The following is an 18,803-nucleotide window of genomic DNA, read 5'->3' on the forward strand; positions in this document are numbered from 1 at the left end:
CCCCAGAGGCTCCGCTGGGCAGAGCTACCCTCCCTCAGCCCTGGGCCCCGCAGCTGGGTCTTTTGGGCCCCATTAAAGCTGGCCTTGGGTGTCCTTGGGCCTTGGCAGGACCTGCAGCCACCACACGGGGTGGAGGCCTGCCAGGGTCCTTGGGTGGTGGCTCACGGTTTGGAGCAGGCCACCTGAGCATCCCGTGTCCAGGGGCAGCACCCTGTGCATCAAACTCCTCACACAGGGAAGGGTTTCCGAGGCCCTCCCTATACCTCGGCCTCGCTAAATGCCTGGGCGGGCTGAGCCCACTGAGCCCTAACCCCATCAAAACACTTGTCACCTTGTCACTTGGCTGTGAGTACTCAGTCCCTCTGCTCCCCACTAGCCTGTGAGCCCCTTTACCAAAGACTCCTCTCCTCCATCCCCACAGCCCAGCGTGGACATCATTCATCCTCCCTGAGCACAAAGCTCGTTCTAATGCCCCAGCCTAGAGTCTCAGAGGCATCCCTGTGGACCAGTCCCGATGCTTTGCTGCAGGTGATAAAGGCAGATGTGACTCGCTCTGCTTCCCAGGGGGGCAGGCAGGGGCCAGGGTCCTCAGTGCTGGGGAGCCGTCATCTTCAGAACATTGCCTCTCATCCTCGTGTGTGTGACCGCATGGTCTTAAGATGGCTGCACAGCTAAAGGCATCACACCAGTGTCCCAAACAGGGAAGAGAGCTTCTCCCTACCCAGCTCTGCAGGCCAGGATGGGATCACCTGGGAACTCCGTCATCAGGTGCTTGGCTCAGGCCTATCCCCAAGGGCACAACCAATGAAAGTTTGTGGGGTAAAGGAGGAGTGAGTGTAGCAAAGCAAAGCCCTTCGACGTTCTCACGTTTGTGGGGCCACATGTGGAGCGATGACTTCGGGCGCACCTCTGTGCTGCCTCCCACTGGCTTCCCAAACCTCAGGGTGCAGCCTGCCTCTGGAGGCAGGAGCAGGGCCCTGGGCGGCTGGGAGTGGCTGGAACTGGGGACATCACCCACGCAGGTGGCCTGGGACACACTGGATGCGTGAGCCTGGAAAGGGGCCAGGAGGAGGGGTCTCCGCCCTTCTGGGGCAGCCTGAAACTGGCAGATGTGGCAATGCTAGTTCTGTTCCAGACCCCCTCTGTGAAGTGCCGTTTCCATGCTGCCCTCACTGGACCAAGGGCACAGCTGTGGAGGAGTGTGAGCGAGGGATCCCCACAAGGACAAAAGCAGAGACCATCCACTGAAGATGCACCTCCAATCCCTCCTGGTCACGCCCAGCCCCGCGCCCAGGGGCCATCTCAGGAGATGCCCTGGCCAGGCCTCTAACCATATCCGGCTCTTGCAGCCACTGAGTCCAAAGCCACCTGGCTCAGGTCCTGGAATGGCACTGCAGGCTTCTGTGGGTGCCAGTGATGGCAGAGAAGAGGGTCCCCCAATGGCACCTGGACAGCCTGGGCAGATGCTGCCGCCCAGCCTCATGGTCTCTGGTGGGGTGGCCGAGGATGGGTGGTGGGGTGCGCCTCTCTACGCATCAGCCCTAAAAGCCTAAGACGTGGGTCCTAGAAGTCACGCCTCTCCCCAGAAACCCTTCATGGCTCCCTAGTACCACAGGCGCATTCAGCCTCCTCACACGCTGGCCCCAGCCCCCACAGCCCCTCAACTTCCCTCCCCACTTCCCACTACACCCTCTGTGAAAGCCCAGCTCATCTTTCAGGCAGGCCAAACCCAGGTTTGCCGGGTCTGAGCTTATATAATCTGGGGGGCCTCTTTAAGAATAAGAATATAGGCTGCGCACAGTGGCTTATGCCTGTAATGCCAGCACTTTCGGAGGCCCAGGCGGGCAGATCACTTGAGGTCAGGGGTTCAAGGCCAGCCTGACCAACATGGTAAAACCCCCACCTCTACTAAAAATACAAAAATTAGCCGGGCGTGGTGGTGCACTCTTATAATCCCAGTTACTTGGGAGGTCGAGGCAGGAGAATTGTTTGAACCTGGGAGGCGGAGGTTGCAGTGAGCCGAGATCACACCGCTGCACTCCAGCCTGGGCTATGGAGCAAGACTCTGTCAAAAACAAAAAAGAAAAAAGACAAAGAATATAAAATAACTAAGACAAACACAGGCATAGAAGTGAGTATCGCTTAGACTGAGAAATGAAGTCACAGAAAACTACAGATTTTAAAAAGCTGATTAGTGTCATCAACATTACAAAATGTGGAAAAATCACAGTTCTTCTTAGTCACCTGACTCGCTCTACAATACCTGTGCCCCGGTATTTTCGAATGTGTGTACTCATTGTTCATCTCTCATAGGACAAGGACTTTGTTTTATGATTTTCTGCAGAGAGAACAGAAAGATGATATGGCCTCTCCTCCTCCACGATGGATACGAATTTACTTTTCATTATTGATGGTGTAGAGAAAGTTCCTGAAGCTTCACAACCCAATGCTGGTGACGTTGTGTACATTCTTAGGATTGGTATCATTCGGGAAAGCCTCTCCTGAGTTTCTTTTGTGTGTCAGTGTCCACAGATGGGCTCGTTTGTAGTGGGAGCTGCAGTTCCTTGTTCTGCAAACAGGAATTGTGACGAGTTTTGCTTTATTCAGTTCCCATCACAAAAGGAAAGAATGTGCAAAAGTGGGTTTGTGGCCATGATCTGCGTGAGCGAGCGTATTCCTGGCAGGAAAGTGCTTTTGTCTGACTGGGCTGCAGCAGGGGCGGCCCCTCTGCTGACCATCCACATGTCTGCTGATTAGAGGGCGTTCCCATGGGCCAGCTTCAGTTCCATCCATCACCCAGGTTCCTGGGCACCCCTACCTCCATAGCTGGATGCTGTGGGATGGGTCATATACCACATCAGGCCTCACCTTTCTGCATCAAGCCAGCAAATTTGCACCTTGTCCCTAGACAGAGACATTCCCATGTGGGGAGGACCAGTGGCAAACTAACTGCACCAGAAGAGACCTTGAACCACATAGATATACCCCACTGTGGTGAGTTGAATTATATGCTCTAAGAGGACAAGTTCAAGCCCTGCAACTCTATGGAACTGAACTCAGCCAATGACCTGAATCAACTTGGAAGCAGATTCACCAACTGGGCCTCCAGGAAGGAACGCAGCCCGGCCCGTCCCCGGGTTTCAGACACGTGAGACACAAGCTGAGGGCTGATGAGCCCTGCTGCACCCAGACTTCTGACTTGCAGCAGTGACGAGATCATAAATGGGCATTGTTTTACGGCGGGAAAAAACTCTCAAAGCCTAACCCCAGTGCCTGGGAATGTGACCTTCTTTGGAATGGGGTCTTTGCAGAAGTCATCAAGCTAAGATGAGGTTAGATTGGGTGGTGGTGGTAGGTGGGGGGGTCCTAAATCCATGACTTGTGTCCTTCTAAGAGGGAAATGTGGATTTAGGACACAGAGACACAGATACACAGACACGCAGAGGGGAGAAGACCAGGGGGACAGGTGGAGGCTGGAGTGAGGCACCACCGCCATGGAGTGCCAGGCACTGCCACCAGCAGAAGATGGAAAAGGCAGGACACACCCTCACCCCTGGCCCCCTGGTTGTGAACTTCTGGCCTCCAGACTGTGGGAAAATAAATGTCTGTTGTTTTAAGCCACCCAATTTGCGGTCATTTGTTACAATAGCCACAAAAAAATCTCACCCACCCACCCAATCCACACTAAAGGTGTCCCCAGCTCAACCTCCCCTCAGCCAGATCCCACAAATGTTTACAGCCCCTAGTACCACTGCAGCAGAGGGGACCTGAACTCCAGAGCGCAGCCAGCCTACAGTCCTCACCGACTGAACAAAGCGTCTGACTTCTGCAATTTTTGTTTTTTGAGATGGAGTCTCGCTCTGTTGCCAGGCTGGAGTGCAGTGGCACGATCTCTGCTCACTGCAACCTCTGCCTCCCGGGTTAAAGTGATTCTTCTGCCTCAGCCTCCTGAATAGCTGGGACTACAGGTGCACGCCACCACGCCCAGCTAATTTTTGTATTTTTGATAGAGATGGGGTTTCACCATGTTGGCCAGGATAGTCTCAATCTCCTGACCTCATGTTCTGCCTGCCTTGGCCTCCCAAAGTGCTGGGATTACAGGTGTGAGCCACCATGCCCGGCCAACTTCCGCAAATTTTAAATGACTGTGTGGATGCTGCTGGGACCCTCCCAGAAGGGGTGTGTGCAAGAGAGGGGCTCTAAAAATTGAGGTCTCTCAGCCTCCAGGGAAATTGCCAGCCTTTAGAGCTCTGCTTAGTTCACCCAGCCTTCCCCAGGGGGCCTCCGTTCTGGCCCTCTGGGTCCGTCTCTTAGCACTGTGACCTGCGCTGGCTGTAGGACCCTTTCCCTTCCTCCAGGACCCCTGGAACAGGGCTTCCCTGGCAGAGCTCATCATGAGAATCTCCTGGGAGGACCTCAAGGGGCCAGGCCCCATCCTGCTAAGTCAGGGGCAGGGAATGTGGCTCTGAAACCCCCCAGTGGGAGGCTGGGGGCAGCTGTCAGGGGCCCTGCTCACGGCTGGTTGTCAGAGAGGGGACCCTCTCCATGTGGTCTGCCTGCTGGAGGATGGGCCAGAGGCTGGAGGTGCCCAGGATTATGTGCCACTGGGACCCTCCCTAGGATGGGCCCCAGAGACCCTCCCTCCACACAGTTGGACCTCAGGACAAGGGCACAAGCACCTCCTCTCCCAGAGCCGGCAGTGGGGTGAACAAGCCCCGAGCTGCAGCGGCCACCTCATGGTGAGATGTGGGTTGCAGAGTCCAGGCACATCCCTGACGCGCAGTGGGTTCAGCCAGGCAGGCTGAGCCACACCTCTGAGACCATCAGTAGCTCCCACTGGCCAGCAGGTCAGCCAGTAAAGGCCGACACCACAGTTCTTCCTACTCCAGCCCTGACCGAGTGTCTGGGTTCACCTCCACTCGGCAGGAAGCACCCAGATATGTGCCAGGATCAAGCCAGGAGAGAAGGATCAGGTAGTTTTCAGGTTGTTCTCATGTAAAATCCTGTAAACATGGCCAGAAACACGTGACTCTGATAGCTACAGATACACCTTTGATTCTGTAACTGGAGAGAGACAGGCTGGAAGAGGAAACCTCAGGAGGTGATAGGTCCAGACATGCGGCAGGGGAAAGGCAGGAGCGGGAGGAAGAGACGGGAGAGAAAGAGGCATGGTGGGAGGGAAGGCAGCCGACTTGCCGGGAAAGTGGCATAAGTAACAACTGAGGCAGAACTGGAGGAAGACAGAGAAGAGAGGCCCAGAGGAGCAGACAGGGATGCAGGACAGAGGGGAAGAACCCTTCACAGCCACGCATGGATCCAGAGTAGAGCTCAGAAAGCTACGGCCTGTGGGCTGAACTGGCCCGCTGCTTGTTTTCATAAATAAAGTTTTATTGGCACAGGGCCACACTTGTTCATTTCTGTGTTGTCTGTGGCTACTTTCATGTAGAGTTGAGTAGTTTTGACAGAGGCTCTGTGGCCAGCTCAGCCTAAAATATTCACTGTCAGCCGGGCACGGTGGCTCACGTCTGATAATCCTAGCACTTTGGGAGGCCGAGGCGGGTGGATCACCTGAGGTCAGGAGTTTGAAACCAGCCTGACCAACATGGTGAAACCCTGTCTCCACTAAAAATACAAAAATTAGCCGGGAGTGGTGGTGCTTGACTGTAGTCCCAGCTACTCAGGAGGCTGAGGCAAGAGAACCCAGGAGGCAGAAGTTGCAGTGAGCTGAGATCATGCCAGTGTACTCCAGCCTGGGTGACAGAGTGAGACTCCGCAAAAAAAAAAAAAAAAAAAGAAAAAAAGAAAAAAAATTCACTGCCTGGCCCTTTCTGGAAAACATTTGCTGACCTTTGGTTTACACTCATGTGGTCTTTGCTTCCAGGACTGTCCACTCTTCAGAGCTCATTGGGGAATCGAAGACTTTCCCCTTAGCTAGATCCAGGCCTGGGATGGGGAGGCGGCTGCCTGACGATCACACGTCTGCTGGCCCTAGGCAGCCCCGAGACCTCTCGGCACCCAGTCCCTTCTGTGTATGAATAACATCACACATCCGAGGCGAGCTCTTGCGCAGTCTCCTGTGAGCTGGCCTCCACACAGAAGGGTCATTCGCTAGAATGTTCTCCGCTCACGTTCTGAATTCTGACAAATATTCTCCAAATGTGATTTTCATCGCTTCAAGTGAGACCCAAATCTTGTTAGGTGACGCCAAGGCGAATTCAAATATAAAACTCTATTTGCCTTTAACATTTTCAAATATTAAAGCTATCAACAGAAAGGCAAGTAAAGAAATAAAAGTGCAAATGCTATGGGGAGAGAATGGCCCGCAGGCAGTGGGCGGCGAGGCCCCTCCTCAGCATCATCTGTATCTTGCCCTGCGCTGGAACTTGGCCCACAGGACATCACGTTTGCCGGCACTGCCTGGGAGGTTCCGGACACAATGCAAGAGTCTGGGCTCATAGCCAAAGGCAGGGGCTCATGGCTCAGCTACACACACATCAAATAACAACAACAAGATCTAACCGCAGAAACCCTGCTCCCTGGGGTTCATCTTTACCCTGTGTTCAGGGAAAACAGTCATCAGCCCTTGAGTTTCAAATGGCCCAAATTACCGATAATTTCAGCCTAAATTAGGCCATTATGTGCTCGCTGCCAGGGTTCCTTCTCTGATGAAAAGCAAGTACTGAGCGGTATCGTCCTCTCCGGGCAGATGGACGGGGCTGGGGGAGGGGTCCCTGGGCCGAGCCCCCTCACCTCTCTTTTTGGAGGGTAGGGGCTGGTGCTTGGCCCACTGTGACTTGGGCAGGGACGGCAAGCTCTGACCTGCGTCGGCCCTCAGGCCCCAGGTGGTGGCTCCAGGAGGACTTCAGAGGACCAGGGCTCAGTGGGAGAGAGGCTCTGAGTGCCCTGACAGGTGGGCACTGCCCTTTTTGAGTTCCCTGGGGTGGGATTACCGACACACAGTGCCAGGCATCTGTGTGCCCAGGAGGGGCCTTGGAGGTGGAGGCAGAAGCACAGGGGCCGGGGAAGCTCGTAGTCGGTGTTACAGACTGAATGTGTGTCCTCCAACTTCTTTTTTTTCTTTTTTTGAGACAGGGTCTTGCTCTGTTGCCCAGGTTGGAGTGCAGTGGTGTAATCACAGCTCACTGCAGCCGTGACCTCCCAGGCTCAAGTGATCCTCCCACGTCAGCCTCCCGAGTGGCTGGGACCACAGGTGCACCACCATGCCCGGCTAATTTATCTTTATTTTTAGTAGAGATGAGGTCTTGCCATGTCGCCTAGACTGATCTTGAACTCCTAGACTCAAACAATACACACCCACCTTGGCCTCCCAAAGTGCTGCGATGACAGGTGTGAGCCACCACGCCTGCTTGCCAAAACTCACGTCACAGCCCCGACCTCCAGTGTGATGAGAGATGGGGCCTTCTGGGAGGTGATCAGGAGGGTTAGATGGGTCAGGAGGGCAGGGCCTGGTCTAATGGGACTCATGTCCTTATGAGGAGAGACTCCAGAGAGTGGTCTCTCCCTCTCTCTGCGACCCCTTGAGCTTGCCCAGAGGTCATGTGAGCACACAGCCAGATGGCGGCACCCACAAGCCAAGAGAAGAGGCCTCAGAATGAGCCTCACCCGGCCCGCTCCCCGATTCTGACTTCCAGCCTCCAGAGGTGTGAGAAATAGACATCTGTGGTTTAAATCCCCCCAGCTGAGGGAGTTTGGGATAGCAGCCGCCCGCTGGGGAAATGGAGGCCCTGGGACCTCCAGGCCAAAGGCCAGCACCTGGAAGGGCATCGCAGAGAGGGAACGGCATAAGCAAAACTGCAGGGTGAGCAGAGGAAGGCAGGGCCAGAGAGAGCACCCCGTGGGATTTGGGGAGACCGTGAAGGCCAAGATAAAGGCTCTGACTTTATTTTGTTCTTTGGGCAGTAGGAAGCCACGGAAAGTCATTTTTTAGAGAGAAAGTGCAGAGGTGGACGGTGCTTTAAGGAATGGATTCCGGTGCAGTGTGGTTTGTTCTGTCACCTGCCTCTCCCGGCGCCGTTTCCCCATCTACTAGTCAGGGTCCCGCACACACCGTAGGACTCACAGCAGTTTCCCAACTGCAGCACCATTGACATTTAGGGCTGATTTTTGGCTGGAGGGGCTGCCCTGTGTAGTGTAGGACGTTCAGCAGCCTCCCTGGTCTCCACCCACTCGATGCAGGTAGCACCTGCCCCAGGTGTGACAACCAGCGATGTCTCCAGACATGGCCACGTGCCCCAGGGACAGAACCCCCCGACTGAGAATCCCTGTGTTACAGGATGAGAGCCAGGCCAGTGGACGTGCTTTCAAAGTCACAGTGTCCCAGCCTAAAGGGGTGCACAGACTCGGATGGGGGCCCTGACCTTGCCAGGGCGGTGCTGGGATGCCCGTCCTTGAAGCTTCTTCTCTCTGGGTCAAACACCTCCGGCCACGCTCTCGCTCCAGATTTGCTCCAGGCAGGCGGGGGTTTGGTGGGGAGCGGAATCACTTTAGCTGAGTGTGACCAGCTGTATTGCTGAGACTGGGGCCGGGGTCATGGCTATGCCTTGGACTGTCCCAGATGGGGACAAGGTGCCAAGGGAGCATGAAATGAAGAGGGCTGTGGCAGAGACTGGTGTCCATGGAGCACCCTTCATGTCCCTGACTGTTCAGAGCTGGACACAAATCAGCCCGAATTCTCCTTCCACCCTGGGGCTGGGGATGCTGTGGGTCCCTGTTTGACAAGAGTGGTGGCTGCAGCTTTTGCTGGGTGGATGGGTGAGAGGGCTCTGTGGCCATTGCAGAGCCTATGGCACATGAAGCATGTGAGTGACTGGGGCCACTGTCATCCGAGGGACACCCTGCGGCCCCAGTTGGGTTATCTGTGACCCCGGGTGGCACAGTGGCAGCCCCGTTCCAGCTGTGGAGACCAATCACAAGCCCTGGGGAGGGGGGGCAACAAGGTGACTGCCTTCTGGTCCTGATTCCAATATTTACACCCACCCCACCACGGACCCACCTGGGAAAATCTGGGGTTCGTGTGCGAGCGGCCCCCTTGTGTCTGTTGGCTGGGAGGGGAGCTGGGAGTCTGGGCTGCTAGGGGAGGTTTCCACCAGCCCAGTGCCCCAGCTTGCACAAGGACCAAGAGATGCTCAGCGTTGAGCTGGGGCCATGGGGGCTCTTCTGGCTCCCGGAAGTCTCAGCTCTTCCCACACCTCATGTCCTGGGCCGGAGCGTTCAGGGTTTGCTCTCTGTAAGTCACCCAAGTCTGTAACAAGAGAAGCAGTCCCGTGGTCCACTGGGCTTTGCTTCTGATGTGTGGGAGGTGATTTTCTCTGTAAAGGAAATAACTGATCCGTAAGAAACAGAAGGTGGAGGGAAGTCTCTCCTCACTTCATCATCTTTTCTGGGGATTGACTTTTTGGTTTTGTTTTATGAAAAGTTCATTTGTGATCTATTATTCAATTAGGAAATGCGCCAGGCATGGTGATGCTTTTTTAAAAGGGCAGAGATAACCTAATAAGTCAAATTCAATTTGGGAAACTGGAGTCTGTACGCTTTCCAGAGTAATTGACCTGCCCATGGGCTGAGATCCAGAGGGAAGTGGGGATGGAGGGAGATGTGAGTCGTGATCCAGGCCCAGGGAGGTGGGGAGGCTGTGGGGGAGCAGGACACCCAGCAGGTGCCCCCAAGCCAATGCAGGAATGGGAGAGACAGTGTCCCTGACAGTGTCACCGCCCAGTGGATTTATCTTTTCTTGCCCACTACCCAGATGAAGCTGATTGATCGAGATGGGGGAATTGCAGTGGAGAAAGTGTTTAATACATGTAGAGCTGGCTAAATGAGAGACCGAGGTTTTAGTATTCTTCAAATCAACCTCCTTGAAAATTCAAAGGATAGGTTTTTTTCAAGGATAGTTTGGCAAGCAGGGGGCTAGGGAGTGGGTGCCACTGATTGGTTGGGGCTGCAATCCCAGGAGTCTGGACAACAGTTCTCATGTGCTGAGCCTGCTTCTTGGTGGGGGCCACAGGACTGTTTGCGTCAGGAGTCTCTGGTCCAATGAAGTCATCTTGTCGTCAGAAATGTAAGCCTCAAAAGACATCTCAGAACGCCAGTCTTAGATTCTAAAATGGTGATGTTATTTACAGGCATAACTGGGGAAGTTGCAATCGTGTAACCTCCTGAACAATGGCTGAGAATCCTGTAACTCTGCCTACATCTTAGCAGAACTCAGGCCCCTCTCATAATCCTAACCTTGTGGACTTTTATTAATTGTATAAAGATGGTTTAATTTGGGGGAAGGGCTGTTATCATTTAAACCATAAACTCAATTTCTCCCAGAATTAGCTTTGAATGACCAAGGGCAGTTTGGAGGTTAAAGGCAAGATGGGCTTGGTTATGTCAGATCTCTTTCACTGTCATCATTTTCTCACTTTATAATTTTTGCAAATGCAGTTTAAATGGGCAGCAGGGCCACCACCTGGGGAGAAGAAAAGAGTTGCCCCCACTCCAGGTCCCTGCACAGGTTGCCCTCTGACCTGCACCCCCTAGAGTCGACCCCTCCTCAGGGCCTCAGCCCTGATTTCCTTGACATGAGGCCAGCAGGGCCAAAGATAGGAAGGTTGTTGGCACCAGCCAGAAGCAGAGGGAATTTGGTGACCCAAGGGTCAGGTCACACCCGGAGCTACCCAGGCAGACGCACATGCACACACACTACGAAAGCACTGCAGCACACACCCTGTGTACACGTGTGACACCACGTTCTGCACTCCCACGCTCATGCACACTCAGACACCTGCATGAATTATGTCTGTGCACACTCACACCATCAGACACGCTACACTCATGCTCACACACACCCACACACACTTACTCGTGCACGTACACCTCCGTGTTCTTGCACGTGCATTCCCACAGGACCACGGCAGGGGGCACGACGTGTGGGAGCACCTGGGGTGCCGTGAGCAGCTGGGACCCTGGGCCGGTCCAGGGAAGGGTCTGGGAAGGACTTGGGTGGATGATGAGGGAAGGGCAGCCCCTCATCTCCACCGTACCCCTCATCTCCTGGTGGCTCACTACTGTAATCCCAGTATTTTGGGAGGCTGAGGTGGGCAGATCACGTGAGCTCAGGAGTTCAAGACCAGCCTGGCCAACATGGTGAAACCCCGTCTCTACTAAAAATACAAAAATTAGCTGGGCGTGGTGGTGTGTGCCTGTAATCCCAGCTACTCGGGAAGCTGAGGCAGGAGACTCGCTTGAACCTCGGAGGGTGGAGGTTGCAGTAAGCCAAGATTGTGCTACTGCACGCCAGCCTGGGCTGCAGATTGAGACTCCATCTCAAAAAGAAAAAAATTGACTTGCAATAATGAGTTGAAAAGGAGGACTTCTCCCAGGTGCATTTCTGGAACCTCAAGGGACAGGAAGGCAGCCAGGCCTCAGGAGCCCTGGAACCCGGGACGGAAGCGTGCCTGCACCTGCTCAGTCCCGGGCTCTACTTTCTGCCCTGTGGCTGTATTTCCTCTCTCTCCGCCCAGCCACCTCGAGGGTGGAAAGTGACATCCGGCAGGAGGCTTCCCTTCTTCAGACTGGGCTCCCCCAAGAGAACTCTTTCTTAGTCCCAGTCCCAAATTCTGAAGGGAGAGTTCTTGACTGACCCTAGTTGGAGTCAGGTGCCCGGCCTGGTCACTCCTATGATGGTGGGTTGGGTTGGGGATGGGGGACATCATGGTCCAGAAAGGCTGCCAGGCACTGGCCCGTGCAGGTGAGGAGAGGTGGTTATGGGAGTGACTGTGAGCTCACGGATGGTGCACACAGCTGATTCGAGTGAGGACTGGAGCCCAGGTCTTTTGAACTCCTGCCCTGGGTTGGGTTCCCTTCAGTGGCATCTTGGACATGGGCTTTGGTATAAGTGGTTTATGAGGGTGCCCGCTAGGAGAGCCCTGGAGTGGAGGGAGCTGGCAGGACAGAAGCAGCCAGGCCAGCCCCAGTCTGCTCCCCTGTGAAGCTCTGGTGTATGAGTGGCCCCTTGGGGTCGTCCCATCTTGAGGAAGGAAGTTGAGCTTTTCATCCAGCCATTGATCAGGGGCTCCACAGACAGGAGCTCCAGGCCTCACTGAGCCAGGCAGCTCCCATGGGCTGAGGGCAGTTCTGCAGAAAGGGTGCTGCAGTGAGTTGTGGGCACCAGACACAGCTGGGGACTGGGTGCACAGAGCCATAAAGCGGACCCCGGCACAGTGCGTGGGCATCCACAGAAATCCTGGGTGCTGCAGACCAGCTAACGGGTGGGTGATGGACAAGGGTCCAGGTGCTGGTCAGTGACGTGGGCTGGCAACGTGCATGGGGCAGCCCCCAACCACAAAGCGGGAGGAGATGAGGGAAGAGGGGTCCTGGGCTTGGCTTGGGTTTGGGGAGCACTCCCTCCTCTGTGGATGTCTGCCTGTGTCCCCCCAACTCAACACAGTCCCCCCACAGAGGGACCCTTGGGGGGAAACACTGTCTAACTACCCCAAGAAAATAAAGAGGCAGACACCATGCTGGGTATTTGCCAAGAACAATTCCATATTCAGATCCACTATTAACATGAAGCTAAATGCGAGAAGTGTTGGCTGGGATTTTCAAATCTGAACGATAATACTCACTTATGAACCTTTCCATCACAATGACCCAGAAATAAGACGTGAAGAAGTTGGGATAATGCCATCAAAAGGGTCACGGCGCCCTCATGATTCTCTTGACAGGCATGAATTTATATAATAATCAAAAAGCATTTTCACCATTAAGCAGCCCCACAGCCTGCCAAGGCCATCGTGGATGACGGTCGCATTACTCACGCGCGTTGCCACCCAACCGGCTGGGGCATCGCCGCACTTCCCATTCTGCTGGGAACACGTAGAATTAAGATGCTAGGTTTCAAAATTATAAAAACATTTTTCCGTATTACTTTTTGGGGGGAATTTGCTAAGAATCACATGACTTCAAGGATAATTATTCCCTCCAGTCATTTTATTCACTTGATAAAAAAGTGGGAAAACATAGATAATAGAATATTTACTGTTTTATACATTTCTCTTTTTTTTGGCAGAGTCTCACACTGTTGCCCAGGCTGGAGTGCAGTGGTGCCATCTCGGCTCACTGCAACCTCTGCCTCCCGAGTTCAAGCGATCCTCCCGCCTCAGCCTCCCAAGTAGCTGGGATTACAGGTGCCCTCCACCACGCCTGGCTAATTTTTTTTTTTTTTTTGTATTTTTAGTAGAGGCGGGGTTTCACTGTGTTGGCCAGGCTGGTCTTGAACTCCTGACCTCAAGTGATCTGCCTGCCCCTGCCTCCCAAAGTGCTGGGATTACAGGCGTGAGCCACCGCACCCGGCCCAGATCTGCCCTTTCGTGTCTGGCTTATTTCAGCGAGCCTAATGAGCATTCTCACGTTTACTCCACGTTGTAGCATGCGTCAGAATCTCTTTTCGCTTTTAAGGCTGAGCACTCCTCCACTGTGTGCATAGACCACCGTTTGCTTACACTTCAATTCCGGACGTGTGAGTGCTTCTACCTTCTGGGTCCTGTGAACAATGCTGCTATGAACACGGGGTGCATCGTGCCTCCAGACTGAGAAGTTAGGGGTTCCCTGCCATCCTCCAAGGCTGGATTCCTTACAAAGGGTGGGGGTGGCACTGAGGCTCATTTCCGGCCTGGGGAGAGCTCCAGCTAACAGGAGGAGGCAGGAGAACCGATGGAGTTGGGAAGTTCCCCACTAATTTCAAGAGTCCTCAAAATGTTCATACTCTTTGATGAATAATTCCAACATCAGGCATTATACAGAGGGAATCAGAGATGTGGCTCAGGGCACTTGTCACAAATGTGGGTGATGCTGGGAACATTAGTTAATGGGCAAAATAAAGAAAAAACACTTTCTCTGCACAACCAAGTTGGGGTATGAGTCCAATGTGCTCCCCAGGACACCTGTAAGCACACATGTATATGCGCATCAGAACAGACACGGGTATGCTGGAGATCCCCCCTGTAAACTGCCTAAAAGGCATTAGCTCCAAATGACCATCACAGAGGAGAGGAATCATCAGAGGAGACGAGGGGTGTGGAGGAGATGAGGAGCATGGGGGAGACCAGGAGGGCAGGGAAGACAAGGAGTGCGGGGGAGACGAGGGGTGCGGGGGAGACGAGGGTGAGGGGGAGACGAGGGTGAAGGGGAGACGAGGGTGCGGGGGAGATGAGGGGTGCGGGGGAGACGAGGGTGCGGGGGAGATGAGGGGTGCGGGGGAGATGAGGGTGAGGGGGAGACGAGGGTGAGGGAGAGATGAGTGGTACAGTGGAGATGAGGGGTACAGCAGAGATGAGGGGCGCTGGGGAGATGAAAGGTACAGTGGAGATGAGGGGTACAGTGGAGATGAGGGGCGCTGGGGAGATGAGAGGTGCAGTGGAGATGAGGGGTACAGTGGAGATGAGGGGTGCAGGAGAGATGAGGGGTACAGCAGAGATGAGGGGCGCTGGGGAGATGAAAGGTACAGTGGAGATGAGGGGTACAGTGGAGATGAGGGGCGCTGGGGAGATGAGAGGTGCAGTGGAGATGAGGGGTGCAGGAGAGGTGAGGGGTACAGTGGAGGTGGAGGGTACAGTGGAGGTGAGGGGTACAGTGGAAATGAGGGGTACAGTGGAGATGAGGAATGTGGGGGAGATGAGGGATCCCCACCCTCAGTGCTGGCCTGTCTTCGCCTGTATTCGTGCTCCTCCATCTGCCCACCCCAGGGTCCACCCACAGCTGGGGTCACAGCTCAGCCACCTGGGCTGAACTTTCCACATCAGGCTCCACGAGGCTCCACTCCCTCCAGCACCCCACTGGCCACCCAGAGCCCCAAGGCCAGAGCTGTCTTGGATCCAGCCCCCCACCTGCCCTCACCCCCAAAGTCACCTACAATTCACCATGGGGGCTGGGTGAGACCAGAGGCCCTGCCCCTGCCCTCTCCACTTGGACCCACTTTGTCAACTGAAAAGTTTCTCCGAAAAAAACTGCACACTGGCAATATGTTTTGCTATGGGCCAAAAGATTTCCCACATCTGGAGTCTGAATCAACACACATACGTCCTCTGAGACTGGGAAAGCAGTCCCCATCCCCGTGCAAGTCCCCCCGCCAGCATGATCCCCAAACTACCTCGCCGGCGCAACACGTGCCTGGGCATCACGCTGAACGGCACGACCTGCTACCCTCCTTCCCCGCCCTGCACCCCCCACCCCCCAGCCGTGCCATCAAGGCCTCTGGGCCACCGAGGACTTGGATTCAGAAAGAAAACAGCAGATGAAAGTCCTGTAATGGACCCCATTGTGCCCCATGGTGAGGCGCAGAAAGAAAAATCAAACCCAAAAGCGACCAAAGGAGTCAAATGATTGTATTTCAGACACACTGTAAAGAAGCCGGCCTTAATGCCACTCCAGGCAAACCATGCAAACCGGCAAAGTGGGTCAGCCCTTTGGACTTCTGAGAACTGAAAAGCTTTCATCTGTCTCAGAGCTCAACTGTTTGTGCCTGGAATTGCTGGGGTGGGGTGGGAATGAAGGGGTGCAGTTTCCCTCCCAGCCCCTCCTTTCCTACCCAGGTCCTTCTTGGAGGTGACTAAGTCTCATGGTGTGCCCACTGTCACTCATTCTGTTTTTAAGAACTTGTCTTTCTGGACATGTTATTCTTGGTGAATATATGTCTTTATTACTATATACTGCTTCTTGGGAACAGGAACATTTTAAGATAACTTTGAAATCTCTTCTTGGTAATGCAAACAGTCATTTTCACAGCAGAACTATTTTCTTTTTTTTCTTTCTTTTTTCTTTTTTTGAGACGTAGTCTTGTTCTGTCACCCAGGCTGCAGTGCAATGGCGTGATCTTGGCTCACTGCAACCTCCGTCTCCTGGGTTCAAGTGATTCTCCTTCCTCAGCCTCCCAGGTAGCTGGGGTTACAGGCGTGTGGCACCACGTCCAGCTAATTTTTGTATTTTGGGTAGAGATGGGGTTTCATCATGTTGGCCAGGCTGGTCTTGAGCTCCTGACCTCACGTGATCCACCCACCTCAGCCTCCCAAAGTGTTGGGATTACAGGCGTGAGCCACCGCGGCCGGCAGTAGAACTATTTTCAAAAGGAGAAAGAGAATACTATATTCTTTTCTCCCTTGTCACAGTTATGAGACTAAATTCTCTGGGGGTTACCTGTGATTGTCTTAGTAATAAAAACTGTGTTCTTAGGCAAAGATGTCCTTTCATTGATCAAAACTGAAATAGCAAAATAAGCATAAATATCGCAAATTACACGTATCTCACCCCGACTGGACGATCGTAAGCCAAGACAAAAGAGACCACTCTTCCTGCAACCATGGAGGGGACCACAGATCAGAGTGGGTTGGGGCCAGCTTTGCGGGCCAACTTCCGGGTCCTTCCTCGAGAGCCACTGTTGCTGGTGGCCCGGGCAAGACTGCCGGCACCCTCCCCTGAGGCTGGCGTGACATCACACACTCTTCTGGAACAGAGAGGGGAATGTCTCCCTGCAGGACAGTGGCCGTTCTGCTTGTGCTGAGGACTTCTACCCCCAGTGCGCTCCCACACGGAGGGCAGTGGGTGAACGTGGGGAGCGTCACGGGTCCTTGGAAGCCACCTGGAACACTCCCAGCTGCCCGGCGGCCTGCTGGTAGTGTCCTCCGGGGCCTGCTCCACACCCACCAGGGTCAGCTGACCCAGAGTTCTTTCCCTGGCTTGGGACTCAGACCCCTCCAGCTGTGAAGACAGCCCTCGGCTCTCACCCCTTCCCGTTGGAAGCTTACTTCGGAGCCCTTGACTTACCTTGGACCCGCCTGGGGCTGAGGCTGGGCTGGGCTGGGGAGCGGCCAGGAGCCGGGGCTTTCTCTGGGTCTTCCCCTCCCCTCTTCCTACAGTGGACAGCTTCCTGCTCCCCAGATCCCACCCTGACCCCTTTTCCCCAGCAGGGCCAAGCCCAGCCTTACCCAGCGTTGTGTCCTCAGGAAGGCGGTCCCCAAGCTGGGTTTCAGTTTCTACATCTGAAACCAGGGTGGGGAGGGAGGCTGACTTCCATGACGCGTTCTAGAACAAGGTTCGAACTCTGTTCCTGCAGGTGGCCTGACCGCCCCCAAAAGGCCTTCCCACCTGGGGGCTGTGGACAGTGGAAGGCGAGCGTCCTCCTGGAAGGTTTTCAGGCACAAGGGGGACCAAATTGTGGACACGCGTGAACAGGTCCTGGGAGTGAGCAAGAACCCCTGAGGCCCCTCCCAGGAAGAGGTTCAGCAGGGGACAGCATAGCCAGACCGTCCACAGTCTCGGCGGACCAAGGCCACGCCACAGACGCTCCACCCCAGGTGGAGAAGAGGCGGCTGGCAGGAGTCCTTTCTCCGGGGGCCCCCCCGGGCACTTCACAGCTCCCCCGCACGCTAGAGCTGCACGTTAGAGCTGGGCCACCGGCCTCGAGTTTCCTTTCATCCCCACAGAACCAGCTCTCGAGGGGCCCTGGGCGTGGGGACCACCCCGCCCTGCCTCTTGCTGGGCAGGCCCCGGGAGATCGGCCTTTGAGCCTGCGGCCTCTGAGCCAGGCAGGGCGTCCGGCACCCGCATCACTGCAGGAGCTGGCGTTGCCACGGTGGCCCTTGAGGCAAGAGTCAGACCCCACTCCGAGGGCCACGGGAGACGCGGCCTCTGGGAACTTGTTTAGAACCTGCATCCTGTGAAACTGCAGAGCCTCCTCAAGTCCCTTCCCCAGTACTGCTTTTGGGGATGGACGGGCGGAGGGGAGGACAGCAGGCAACTGGGTGCCGCTATGGGAGGCTCTGCAGTCCCCTTGGCCTCTCTGCAGAGCTCCACTTCCCTTCACGATCACCTTCAGGCTGCAGTGATCACCTGGAGCCCCTCCCAGGGGACGTCTGGTATTTCTGCACCGTCTTCTAGAAAGAGCATCCTCTTGTGGCTGGGTTAGGATTGGCCCCGCCCCCTGCCCCTCAGAACCAGGTACCCGCAACTGACCCAGCCCAGGTTTGTCAAAGATCAGATGATTGCAGACGTGTGGTGTTATTTCTGAGGCCTCTGTTCTGTTCCATTAGTCTATATATCTGTTTTGGTATCAGTACCATGCTATTTTGGTTACTGTAGCCTTGTAGTATAGTTTGAAGTCAGGTAGCGTGATGCCTCCAGCTTTGTTCTTCTTGCTTAGGGTTGTCTTGGCTATATGGACTCTTTTTTGGTTCCACATGAAATTTAAAGTAGTTTTTTCTAACACTGCGAATAAAGTAAATGGTAGCTTGATGTGAATAGCATTGAATCTATAAATTACTTTGGGCAGTATGGCCATTTTCACGATATTGATTCTTCCTATCCATGAGCATGGAATGTTTTTCCATTTGTTTGTGTCCTCTCTTATTTCCTTGAGCAGTGGTTTGTAGTTCTCCTTAAAGAGGTCCTTCACATCCCTTGTAAGTTGTATTCCTATTTTATTCTGTTTGTAGCAATTGTGAATGGGATTTCACTCATGATTTGGCTCTCTGTTTGTCTATTATTGGTGTATAGAAATGCTTGTGATTTTTGCACATTGATTTTGTATCCTGAGACTTCGGTGAAGTTGCTTATCAGCTTAAGGAGTTTTTGGGCTGAGACAATGAGGAATGCTTCCAGCTTTTGCCCATTCAGTATGATATTAGCTGTGGGTTTGTCATAAATGGCTCTTATTATTTTGAGATATGTTCCATCAATACCTAGTTTATTGAGTGTTTTTAGCATGAAGGGGTGTTGAATTTTATTGAAGGCCTTTTCTGCATCTA

The sequence above is a fragment of the Homo sapiens genome, chromosome 11, assembly GCF_000001405.40.
Source record: "Homo sapiens chromosome 11, GRCh38.p14 Primary Assembly".
NCBI lineage: Eukaryota > Metazoa > Chordata > Mammalia > Primates > Hominidae > Homo > Homo sapiens.